The 11,033-nt window shown below is 47.7% G+C and overlaps 2 protein-coding genes and 1 long non-coding RNA gene across 10 annotated transcripts in view, besides 5 other annotated features; 1 reads left to right on the top strand and 2 right to left on the bottom strand.

The window, feature by feature from the left end:
- Nucleotides 1–203: 203 nt before the first annotated feature.
- On the bottom strand, nucleotides 204–4,766 carry LOC124900217 (collagen alpha-1(III) chain). Of its 5 annotated transcripts, none has more exons than XM_047419633.1 (3): nucleotides 2,945–4,766; nucleotides 737–895; nucleotides 204–589 (listed from the first exon to the last, which is right to left on the bottom strand). In XM_047419633.1, exon 1 carries the CDS (start codon nucleotides 4,727–4,729, stop codon nucleotides 3,800–3,802), a length of 930 nt encoding a protein of 309 aa, XP_047275589.1. In that variant the 5' UTR covers nucleotides 4,730–4,766; the 3' UTR covers nucleotides 204–589; nucleotides 737–895; nucleotides 2,945–3,799. The 5 variants fall into 5 exon arrangements, with proteins under 5 accessions (XP_047275589.1, XP_047275592.1, XP_047275590.1 ...); XM_047419636.1 differs by having other exon boundaries at nucleotides 204–497; XM_047419634.1 differs by having other exon boundaries at nucleotides 737–4,766.
- NHSL1-AS1 (NHSL1 antisense RNA 1) lies at nucleotides 204–5,824 on the bottom strand. Its single transcript, NR_033896.1, has 4 exons — nucleotides 5,524–5,824; nucleotides 2,945–3,099; nucleotides 737–895; nucleotides 204–589 (listed from the first exon to the last, which is right to left on the bottom strand). It is a non-coding gene; the product is annotated as an NHSL1 antisense RNA 1 (long non-coding RNA).
- Nucleotides 3,978–4,117: a silencer, noted in NCBI's record as "silent region_17600". NCBI's record gives its function as "represses an Ori minimal core promoter by ATAC-STARR-seq in GM12878 lymphoblastoid cells {active_cell/tissue: GM12878}" and the evidence as "EXISTENCE:reporter gene assay evidence [ECO:0000049][PMID:35858748]".
- Nucleotides 4,158–4,217: a silencer, noted in NCBI's record as "silent region_17599". NCBI's record gives its function as "represses an Ori minimal core promoter by ATAC-STARR-seq in GM12878 lymphoblastoid cells {active_cell/tissue: GM12878}" and the evidence as "EXISTENCE:reporter gene assay evidence [ECO:0000049][PMID:35858748]".
- The window catches only part of NHSL1 (NHS like 1), a 271,170-nt gene continuing 264,416 nt past the window's right edge, over nucleotides 4,280–11,033 (top strand). For all 4 annotated transcript variants that reach the window (XM_047419113.1, XM_047419109.1, XM_047419110.1 and 1 more), the window contains exon 1: nucleotides 4,280–5,016. In XM_047419113.1, coding sequence (XP_047275069.1) covers nucleotides 4,728–5,016 — 289 coding nt within the window. In that variant the 5' untranslated portion in view covers nucleotides 4,280–4,727. The remainder of the gene's footprint in view (nucleotides 5,017–11,033) is intronic.
- Nucleotides 4,698–5,047: a silencer, noted in NCBI's record as "silent region_17598". NCBI's record gives its function as "represses an Ori minimal core promoter by ATAC-STARR-seq in GM12878 lymphoblastoid cells {active_cell/tissue: GM12878}" and the evidence as "EXISTENCE:reporter gene assay evidence [ECO:0000049][PMID:35858748]".
- Nucleotides 5,058–5,107: a silencer, noted in NCBI's record as "silent region_17597". NCBI's record gives its function as "represses an Ori minimal core promoter by ATAC-STARR-seq in GM12878 lymphoblastoid cells {active_cell/tissue: GM12878}" and the evidence as "EXISTENCE:reporter gene assay evidence [ECO:0000049][PMID:35858748]".
- Nucleotides 5,230–6,429: an enhancer, noted in NCBI's record as "BRD4-independent group 4 enhancer chr6:139012200-139013399 (GRCh37/hg19 assembly coordinates)". NCBI's record gives its function as "activates an origin of replication core promoter dependent on BRD2, P300/CBP, MED14 and CDK7 cofactors, and independent of BRD4, by STARR-seq in HCT116 cells {active_cell/tissue: HCT116}" and the evidence as "EXISTENCE:reporter gene assay evidence [ECO:0000049][PMID:35650434]".

Below are 11,033 nucleotides of genomic sequence, written 5' to 3'. Positions count from 1 at the left end.
TTAAATTCTTCTTAGAAGAAGTTGGCACAATGTTTTTGTTCTGTTTTATATATTATTTAATGGGATGTTAGATGGGGAGTTGTGACTGATGCATCAAGAAATGACAGATACCAAAATCACTTACGAAATTTCAAAGTAAATAGCTGAGGACTGCTTAGATGCTCAATCACACAGGCTACAAAAGACTCAAGTGACTGCAGATGGAAGAGGGCTTTAGAGGATTTATTTGGACAGGGCTGTGCTGAGAGTCCCACCCTCACCCCACAATGGGCGGGGGCACTGGCATCGAACACCAAGCTGAGTGAGAAGGGCTCCTCCAGGCCTCGCAGGGAGCTTGCTGGCTTCTCCTGGCTCACAGCAGACTGGGCCCGACTCCCATCGGAGGAAGGCCAGCATCCTAGGGCAGCCAGTGGAGGGCTGGCAGAGGGCTGTGCCTGGGAGGTCACTGTGCTATCTTCCAACCACACTGTGTGAGTCTCAGATACCATATGTGGAATCTGCATCAGGAAGGTCAGCTTGAGGTCATTTTAAAAGGGATTCTTCGGAAAAAGTCTCACTGAAGGGTTGGCAGGACCCTGATGGTAAGAGTCTGCATGGAGGGGACAGAAGGAAGACCAAGGTTGGGGTAGAATAAGCAGCTAGAGAAAATTCATTGCCAGCGTCAGGAAGCATGGCCAGACATTCCCAGTGAGGGCTCACAACAGTGTTCACGAAAGAGTCACTTTCAAATACCCACCAAGCCCAGCGTGGGTGACCCATTCCACCAGAGGTCCAGTTCAGTACATGCCTTACTGCCGGCCTCCACCCCTCTCTTGCCTGCTAGCAAGTGGGCTGTGGGAGGGTGACATCGGGGAGGAACAAAGCTCCTTGCCCGCACTTCTGTCCATAGGAGACCCTGTTGGGGAAGGGGACAAGATTTGAATTACTGAATTAAGAGCAGGGTTTTTCCTCTTAAAGTAACAGGATTTTCTATTACCTGAGAGAATAAAAAAGTTATAGGACTGCCTGAGTTTCATTCTGTGGAAGAGGAAGAACTATCCTCATGGAACAGATTATTAACAGCAGAAGACTAAAAATTCAGTTGCTTTTATGGATACACCCATGAGTCCTGTTAATTCCATGTTCTGGTTATGTATAGAGTTTACATTCCACTTCTGGAGTAGTGAAATCATTCATTTTATAAAAAAAATTCTATTGATATTGCCCCAGGATTACAAATTTACAAAAATATTCTTGCTCTCTTTTTATTAGTTTATGTGGCTAAATCATAATTCTTTTCAAACCAATGGGAAAGTCTCAAGGGAATAGAAGAGGGAATAAACTAAAGAACAATGCTGGGCCGGGTGCTGTGGCTCACGCTTGTAATCCCAGCACTTTGAGAAGCTGAGGTGGGTGGATCACCTGAGGTCAGGAGTTCAACACCAGCCGGGCCAACATGGTGAAATCCATCTCTACTAAAAATACAAAATTAGCTGGGCGTGGTGGCAGGCACCTGTAATCCCAGCTACACGGGAGGCTGAGGCAGGAGAATCGCTTGAACCCAGGAGGCGGAGGTTGCAGTGAGCCAAGATCCTGCCATTGCACTCCAGCCTGGGTGACAGAGCGAGACTCCATCTCAAAACAAAAAACAAAAAACAAAAAACCCACAATAGACTGTTAAAGCAATCAGGAAGTAAATGTTACACCTAAGGGACTTGTATCTAGAATATTCAAGGATCTATTACATCTTGATAAGAAATGGACAAAAATTTGATTTAATAATGGCCAAGAATCTGAACAGACATTTCTACAATGTTATCTTTTTCCAAAGAAGATAAACAGGTAGCTGATAAAATCATGAAAAGATGCTCATTATCACTAGCTATCAGGAAAATGCAAATCGAATCCACAATGAGGTATTATACCCACTAGAATGGCTGTAATAAAAAAGACATAAAAATTAGTGTTGCCGAGGATGTGAAGAAACTGGAACCCTCATACATTGCTGGCTGGGAGGTAAAATGGTGCAGTCACTTCGGAAAACAGATTGGCACCATGACTCATCAATTCCACTCCTCGGTATGTACCCAAGAGAAATGAAAACACACGTTAACACAAAAACTTGTACACACATGTTCACAGCAGCATTAATCATAATAGCCAAAAAGTGGACACCCAAATGTCCATTAACTGATGAATGGATAAACAAAATGTGGCATATCCAAACAATGGGATATTATGCAGCCTTAAAAAAAGAATCAAAACTGATCCATGCTACTCCATGGATAAACTTTGAAAACATCACACTAAGTGAAAGAAGCCAGTCACAAACAATCACACATGTATGATTTCATTGATATGAAACCTCTACAATGGGCAAATCCATAGACACATGAGTGGTTGCAATTGGCTAGTGATGGTTTAGGAGGGAGGGAACTGAGTACTAAAGAGAATTGTTTTTTTGAGACTGGTGTGATTAAAATGTTCTAAAAGTGATTATGGTGATGTTTGCACAACATTGTAAATATACTAAAAAGCATTGAGTTATACACTTTAAATAGGCAAATTATATTGTATGTAATTTTTTTTTTTTTTTGAGACAGAGTCTGGCTCTGTTGCCCAGGCTGGAGTGCAACGGCATGATCTCGGCTCACTGCAACCTCTGCCTCCCGGGTTCAAGCGATTCTCCTGCCTCAGCCTCCAGAGTAGCTGGGATTACAGGCCCCCACCACCACGCCCGGCCAATTGTTGTATTTTTAGTAGAGACGGGGTTTCACCATGTTGGCCAGGCTGGTCTCAAGCTCCTGACCTCAGGCGATCCGCCCTCCTCGGCCTCCCAAAGTGCTGGGATTACAGGCGTGAGCCACGGCGCCCGGCCATATTGTATATAATTTAAAAATGTTATGCATGGTCCACTACACGAGAGTCTCATGATGGCAGGGACAGAGCCAGCTTTGCACATTACCTTATCTCTAGCCAGTGCCCAACACACAGGCACTCAACTAGTATTTCTTGAGTAAGCAGCATGCTTTTATACCGTTCCTGATGTTTATCCAGTGCTTCATAAATTGCAAAGCATGTTTTTTCACAGCAGCCGTTCCTTTGAGCCTCATAACAACCCTGAAGGTGGTCAGAGTAGGTGATACGAAATAGTTACTGGCCCACATTGTAAAAAATGAGGCGCTGTACAACAGGATAAAGACCAAAACACCACCACCACCACCACCAACACCATAACCCGTATCTGTCTAATAAGTTTTATTTGGAGGAGCTCTTTCCCAGGCCCATTTTTCTCCCACTGCTCCTGTCCCCCAGAGAGGGAACGCGCTTCTCATTACAATCAGCGCTGCTCTGGGAGACCGACTCCCAAAATGCCGTAAAACAGAGGAGCAACCAGGGTCAACTGGAAAGCAGAAACCAAAGAACCCAGATTCCTTTTCTGAGCAAACACAGCGATGGGCCAGTGGGATTTTAGCTTGGGGATATTGGACCCAGTCTTCTCAAAAACTTCCTACCAGAAGGTTTGTGTTAGCGGGTGTCCCATGACCACGATCTCAATAGCATGTGGCTTACATATCTTCCAGGCTCGAATTCAGGGTTCTAGGTTCTAGTCCTCCACCCCTAACTAACATGCTTGGTGGAAGAAACTCAGATTAGTCACATTTCAGCTTGGACCTTTCCAGCTGTAGTAGCAGGCAGCCACAGGGGGAGTCACCTTGCTGAAAAAAACTCACTGGACGCCCCCTGAAAAGAGGTCTTGAGTTGTTCCGAGTCGGACGCTGACTCCTAGTCGGCTACAGAACCCTTGGCCACCGGACATTTAAAGACGTTCTATTTGAGGTCCACCCGGGCGGCCCAGAAGTGTTGGCCACCTTCCAGAAGGGAAGTAGGAGAGAGCAGGGGGACCCCGAGGGGCCCGGGGCGTTCCCCGCGGGGCGGGGCGCTCCTGACTGCGGAGCGCCGTGGGCAGGGGCGCAGGTGAGCAGAGCGAGCGGAGCTGGCCGCGGCCGTCCTGGCGCCTCCGCCCTCCCGGCGCCCGCACTGCGCTGCACCCCGGCCCGGGGGGCGGGCGAGGGCTCTGCCCCACCGCCCGGGGGCTGCCAAGGGGAGTTGGGGCGGCGACGTGGGCGTCCCGGGACTGTGCGCCCGCACCCGCCCCGACAGGGTGCGCTGAGGCGCCGGGGCCGCCACTGGCTGCGGGCGCTGGGCGCGGCAGCCGCGGGAGCCGCAGGTGGTTCCCGGGCCGGCCCTTTTCTCCTCCCCCTTTCCTTTCTTTCGCCTCCCCTCCCTCTCGCCCGGTGTCGGCGGCACTTCCCTCGCTTCCTCCTCCCTCTCCAATCCGGAGGGAGGGAAGGAGCAGCCGGCGCTTTCCTGCCCGCCTGCAAACTTCAGCGGGACTCGCGGCTCCCCTCGCCGCCGCGGCCGCCGCCGCCCAGAGCTGCCCCTGGAACTTCCTCTCGCCGCGCGGCCCGCGAAGCCCTGCGGGTGGAGGAACGCCGCCGGGCGCCAGGCAGCCACGGCTCGGACCCCATTCCTGCCCCGCGCCGCCCGGGTGCCCGCTCGCCCGCGCGCCCGTCCGTCCGTCCGTCCTTCCTGCCCGCCCGGCCTCTCCCCTGCGGGCAGGGGCCGCCAGGCTTCCCTCGGCGCCCCGCCGCTGCCCGGGACTTCCTTTGTGTTGGATGCAGGCTGGCGCCCCGCGCCGACGGGAGGCAGACTGAGGGATCCCGCGCCGCCGGCCCGCCCCCGCCATGCCCTTCCACCAGAGGACCCTGGAGCCCGCGCGGCTGCGCCGGCCCGAGGCGGCGGGGGCCGGGGCTGCGGGCGCGCCACTCTTCCGCTCGCTGGAGCAGGTCAGCTCGCATGCCCTGGGCTGCCTGCTGGCGCAGCTGGCCGACCTGTCGCGCTGCGCCGGGGACATCTTCGGCGAGCTCGAGGGCCAGGCGGCCGCGCTGGGCCACCGCACCGCCGCGCTGCACCGCCGCCTCGACGCCCTGCAAGCCGCCGCTGCGCGCCTGGACCACCGCCGAGTGAAAATCCGTGAGTGGCCGGCGGGCCGGGGGAGGGGAACCGGCGGGGGAGGCACCCGGAGAGCTGCTCCCGCCCGCCCCCTGGCGGCCCTGGGTCGGCGCGGGGGCCGCGGAGCCCCGCGATGTCGGGGTCTCCAGTGGGGACTGCCGGACCCCAGCGGGAGGCTGGGCAGGTGGCAGGGGCGCAGAGCGCTCTGTGACTTTCGGACTCCTGGAGGGTCTTGGCTACCTCGAGAGAGTGGGCGCGGAGGGTGGGAATTGGACAGTCCCCTTGTCTGCTCCTTCTGTCTGTCTGTGTCTGTCTGTTTGGGAGACCCCGGGGCGCTGTAGACAGAGGAGAGCCAAGTTCGTGGGAAAACTGTCACAGGCAGGTAGCCTGTTGGAAAAGCCAGGGGAGAATATAAATTTGGGCATATAGTAGTTACAGTTTTGGAGACTTCAGGACGATCCGTTTGTAAAACCCTGGGGATCTCGGCGAGCGTTGGGGCTGCTTGCCACCTCTCTTCCCGCCGCCTACCTGTGTTCTTACCGACAAGCAAAACTATGCAGACTTTAAGGGTTTTCCCATTTGGCGCAGAATTTTCTTTCTTCTCCCAGACTGACCCACCAGCTCTTTGTGATTCAGAAGACGTTGACCTTGAGTTCAGGCTCTGAATCCCATTCATCTTTGTCCGGCTTCCTCCAACCCTGAAAGTCAAGTCTATGTCCTGATATAGTGATCTCTCCGGTGATCCATTTCATTTCAGCAGCTTAACTGGCTCCGGTGAATGAAGCAACTGGAATTTCCTGCTGGCCCAAAGCAGAGAAACTTTCAGTGTGATGTCTCTGTGGTTTCTCCCTTTTAAGTACGTGAACTTGGTCATAATCCTAAGTGTAAAGAATAAATTGGAGATGGTTGATGGATTGCTGGGTGGGAGGGGAGATGTTGATGTAACACACGCCTAGATTTCAGCAGCTCTGGATGAAATAGTTTTTTCTCCTAGAATCACTTCATATGCAATCTCGAATAGCTCGTTTTCCAGCTAGCTAGAAAAACTTAGCTATATTTTAACTACCTTACAGCCTAAGAGTTCAAAATTTTCAATTATTTAATTTCAGTGAGATTGCTTGCTATAATACATCTTTCTCCAAGTTGTATAATTAATTCGTGGCAGTTTTACATTTTTGCGTTCATCTCTTTGATTGTGCCGTCAACACATTCATATGAATTGTGGACAGTTCCCAACCTGGGAGAGCGTCCCCCTCCAAGAAAAAAAAATCAGTGGGGAGGAATCAAAGTGATCTCATAAGGTTGTTGACATAATCAGAATATATCTACTTAATGTGAGTGATGACTTCATGCATATGGTAGGATACACTGTCCTAGTAGGATGTCATGGTCTATGCGGCAATCACGAGTTGCTTCTATGCGTTTTCTGTCTAGGGTGTAGGTACGTGGGAGAACCAGAATTTTACCCTTGACAAAGAATGTGATGAGGGAGATCTGATTGATAGGTGAACTGATCTATTGTGGGAATTAAAAAACAAGAGGAAACTCCCTGAAGGTCAAGAACTCCTTCCTTTACTAGTTTGGTTTTACATTTAAATGTATCACTTTTCTCTGTTCTTTAGTACATATGCCCCAATAGGCTACTGTCCATAGCCAGAAATCCCCCAAATTCTCCATATTAACTAAGGTTGTTCTAATTACAGTAACTGAAATAACTCTTTTCAAAACTTTTCACAAGTTTGTTTGAATCTTAAGTGGTTGTGATTTCATACCTGTCTTCCAGGCTGGAGTGCTGTGGTGCAATCTCAGCTCACTGCACCCTCCGCCTCCTGGGTTCAAGCAATCCTCCTGCCTCAGCCTCTAGAGTACCTGGGATTACAGGCGCCCGCCACCACGCCCGGCTAATTTTTGTATTTTTAGTAGAGACAGGGTTTCGCCATGTTTGTCAGGCTGGTCTTTAACTCCCAACCTCAGGCGATCCACCTGCCTCGACCTCCCAAAGTGCTGGGATTACAGGTGTGAGCTACCACACGTGGCCCCATTTTTTTTTTTTTAATAATCATGCAAGAAGGCTTTTTATTGAATATAATTATGCCTGAGTATAAATGTACATGTAGAGAAGAAAGCTGACTATCAAGACATTAATTTTTGTGGTTTCTTTCACCTTCACACACTTTGCTTTTTTATGTGCTTAAAAGCAGTGAAATGCCTATGCATTACCATCTGTTAGGATTCTTTTAAAACAATGCCTCAAACCTTGTTTCTGTGTAAAAACTACAGTTTGAAGTTGTTCTGCCATTTTAGGCAGGTCTTCAGAATATCATACTCCATTAGTATGGATGGCTAGACTTTTAGACTTGGAATTGACCGTAAAGGCCATCCATTTCGTGAATTCTTACCCAGAGAGGAAATCCAGTCCAACAGCATTGCAGTTAATTCACCCCAGGTTAGGCTGTGGGTAATGACACATCCGGGCCTGAAGCCCAAACCTTCTGATTGTCTCGCCTGTCGTCCCACTGCCTGTGTTCCTTCCCTTTAGAAGAGTGTGGAGCCAGGCACAGTGGCTCATGCCTGTAATCCCAGCACTTTGGGAGACCAAGGTGGGCGGATCATTTGAGGCTAGGAGTTCAAGATCAGCCTGGCCAACATGGCGAAACCCCGTCTCTACCAAAAATACAAAAATTAGCGAGACTGTCTCAAAAAAAAAAAAGGTGTGGAAATGGGGAGCAAAGTTTAGATATGTTCCTTAAACAGTCCTAAGGATAACTGTGACCGTTAATTCCACCCTTCTTGTCAGATAAACCATTTAATGAGTCTCCCCAGGAGCAATTAACAGAATCCAGCAGTTTACCAAAAGCCTCTAGCAGTTGGGGACAGCATATTTCAGTGACCAATAATAGCTTTCTACCATAAGAAAGGATGTGAGAATGTCAGTGGAACAATTTAAAAAAATGTATAAACACTCTTTGCAATACAGAGACAGTATTTTAGTCCTGTGGGCTGGCCCTGCTGGCCTCAATGATCCTGAGAGGTATTTCATCAAGTTTGCCATTCCTCAAAATCTCATGGGTAGAAAGTTATCCAAAATAATTTTTTGTCATGCCTTGGGGAGAATGCATGTTATTATTCTGTTCATTGAAGACTCCTACTTTCTTTCCCTGACACCCCCAGGTTGAGGGGCTGTTCCCATGGCATTGGTTCACCTCGATCACCACATTTACCAAGGGGACTTCTGCACCCCTCTGCCAGACAGCAGGACCTTTGAGGTCCAGGATGGCCGAGTCTTTGTTTTTCTAGAGCTTAGAACAATGCCTGGATGTGATAGCTCAATAGATGTTTGAATTGAATTAATACTTAGTGACTTAGTGCTTACTGTCAGGAAGAATAACTATAAAAACCTTAGGGAGGAAGGAGGATGGATCTTTTGAGGCAGGTGGATCAGTTGAGGCCAGGAGCTCAAGACTAGCCTGGCCAATATGTTGAAACCCCGTCCCTACTAAAAATACAGTACTAAATACAATACTAAGTACAAGTACAAAAATACAATACTAAAAATACAATACTGCTACCAATGTAAGTGATCGAGACAATTACTTTACAAAAATAAAAATGTAAACTTTCTGCCTTTAATGTTTAGTGCTTAACCACCAATCTCTGCTCCTGTCTGTAAAAGTCAGACTTCATTAATTTTGCTGACACAGTAAGTTCTCATGGAAAATAGTGACAACAGCCAGCAATGTGAATAGTTACATCTTGGCTCTGTAAATATCAAAACAGACTTTGCTAAGCAGAAATCAATAGACACTCGATCAAATAGTCTGTTTCTATTTTTTTATTTTTATTTTAATTTTTTTGAGATGGAGCCTTACTCTGTCGCCCAGGATGGAGTGCAGTGGCGTGATCTCAGCTCACTGCAACCTCTGCCTCCCGGGTTCAAGCAATTCCCTGCCTCATCCTCCTGAGTAGCTGGGATTACAGATGCCCACCACCATGCCTGGCTAATTTTTGTATTTTTAGTAGAGATGGGGTTTCACCATCTTGACCAGGCTGGTCTTGAACTCCTGACCTCGTGATCCACCCGCCTCGGCCTCCCAAAGTGCTGAGATTACAGGCGTGAGCCACTGTGCCTGGCCCCTGTTTTTATTTTTAAGCCCTGTGTGATTGGGTTTTCTTTCTCTTTAAAAATAGTTTTGTTGAAATAAAATTTACACACCATACAATTCACCCACTTAAAGCATACTGTTTGGCCGGGTGGAGTGGCTCACACCTGTAATTACAGTACTTTGGGAGGCCAAGGTGGGCCGATCACTTGAGGCCAGGAGTTCGAGACCAGCCTGGCCAACATGGCGAAACTCTGTCTCTACTAAAAATACAAAAATTAGCTGGGCATAGGGGCACATGCCTGTAATCTCAGCTACTTGGGAGGCTGAGGCATGAGAATGACTTGAACCCAGGAGGTGGATATTGTAGTGACCCGAGATGGCGCCACTGCACCCCAGCCTGGGAGATAGAGCAAGACTCTGTGTCCCCAAAAAAAAAAAGTGTACAATTTAGGGGTTTTTAGTGTATTCACAGAGTTGTGCAACCATTACCACAATTTTAGAACATTTTTATCACCCCAAAAGAAACCCCATACTCATAACTAGTTATTCCCCATTTCCTGTCAACCCTCCCATTCCTAGGCAACCACTGATCTACTTTCTGCCTCTATAGATTTGACTTTTCTGGACATTTCATACAGATGGAATCATGTGCCTGGCTTTTTTTACTTAGCACAGTGAACTTTTCGAAGTTCATAATTTGTTTCTTTTTATAATTAAGACTTTTATGATTGAAAAAGTATCATTCATATTTATTACTTGATGAAAAACCTTGTGAGATAGGAGGGAAGGCCAGGTTATATTATACACACTTATTACTTTTTAATTGATACATAATAATTGTACATATTTAACATTGTACATTTGCAAATACAGTCTTTGCATAAACAGGACTGAGAATTTGGCAGACACAGTAGGCTCATAGTTCTGAGGAGTATTTTAGGTGTTGAGATGCATTCTCATACCTCACAACAGACTGTCCCCTCACCTAACCAGAGGGTTGGCTGGTCCTGATGTCAGAATATCTTTGCTTCTTCCTCAGAACGCAAGGCACTTGTCAGAGTTCTAAAGACAGAGTGTTCACTGCACTTCGTCTTCTTCTTCTTTTTTTTTTTTTAATTTAAAAAGAGATGAGGTTTCCATACGTTGTGCAGGCTGGTCTGGAACTCCTGGGCTCAAGCGATCCTCCCTCCTTGGCCTCCCAAAAGAGCTGGGATTACTGGTGTGAGCCACCGTGTCTGACTGACTGCATAAGAATAGGTTGTATGGCTGTTTTTGTGTCTGACTACTCATAAATGTTTGGCGAAATTGGCATAAGATTTGCTTTCATTGACACATACCACATGCTAGAGAGGATGTTGGTGGCTGTGTGGCCCGCACCCCCCTCTAATCCCAGTCCCTCAATTTATTAAGAGAAACTGACAGTAGCTGAGTGGTCAGATTGCACCATCAGGTTAAGGAGGCGAGGTGATTCCTATACTTGACTAACTTTAAGAACTGCTTGGAACTTTCGTTAAAATTAGAGATTCCCAGACCCTTCCAAAGCCCTGTTGAGCCAGAGTCTCCAGTATGTTTAACAATGCCATGCTGTCCTTTGGCCAGGCAAATTGAGAAGCACTGCAATCGTCTAGAAAGCTCATTGGATTAGGAATTGGGAGACCTGAGCTTGGCTTCACCTCTGCCATTTTCTAACACAGATTTTGAGCAATTTATTCAACACCTCAAGGCCTTAGTTTTCATATCTGTAAACAGAGACCTTGACAAAAATAATCTCTACTGGCCTTTCCAATTTTGGCGTTTTGTGATTCTACTGAGGGATTTAAAAAGTTTTAATTTATTTTGACAAAATAAATAGGAAAATTAAAGTTGCATGTATTTATGGGAAACAACTATTTTATTTTATTATTATTTTTTTAGACAGGATCTGGCTGTTGCCCA

The sequence above is a fragment of the Homo sapiens genome, chromosome 6 (assembly GCF_000001405.40).
Source record: "Homo sapiens chromosome 6, GRCh38.p14 Primary Assembly".
NCBI classification, from domain to species: Eukaryota; Metazoa; Chordata; class Mammalia; order Primates; family Hominidae; genus Homo; species Homo sapiens.
The sequence above is the reverse complement of the archived record's forward strand: the minus strand, read 5'-3'. Positions and strand labels throughout refer to the sequence as shown.

Coding starts and splice junctions, on each gene's coding strand:
- LOC124900217 (XM_047419634.1), bottom strand. CDS start 4,729: ATGGCGGGGGCGGGCCGGCGGCGCGGGATCCCTCAGTCTGCCTCCCGT.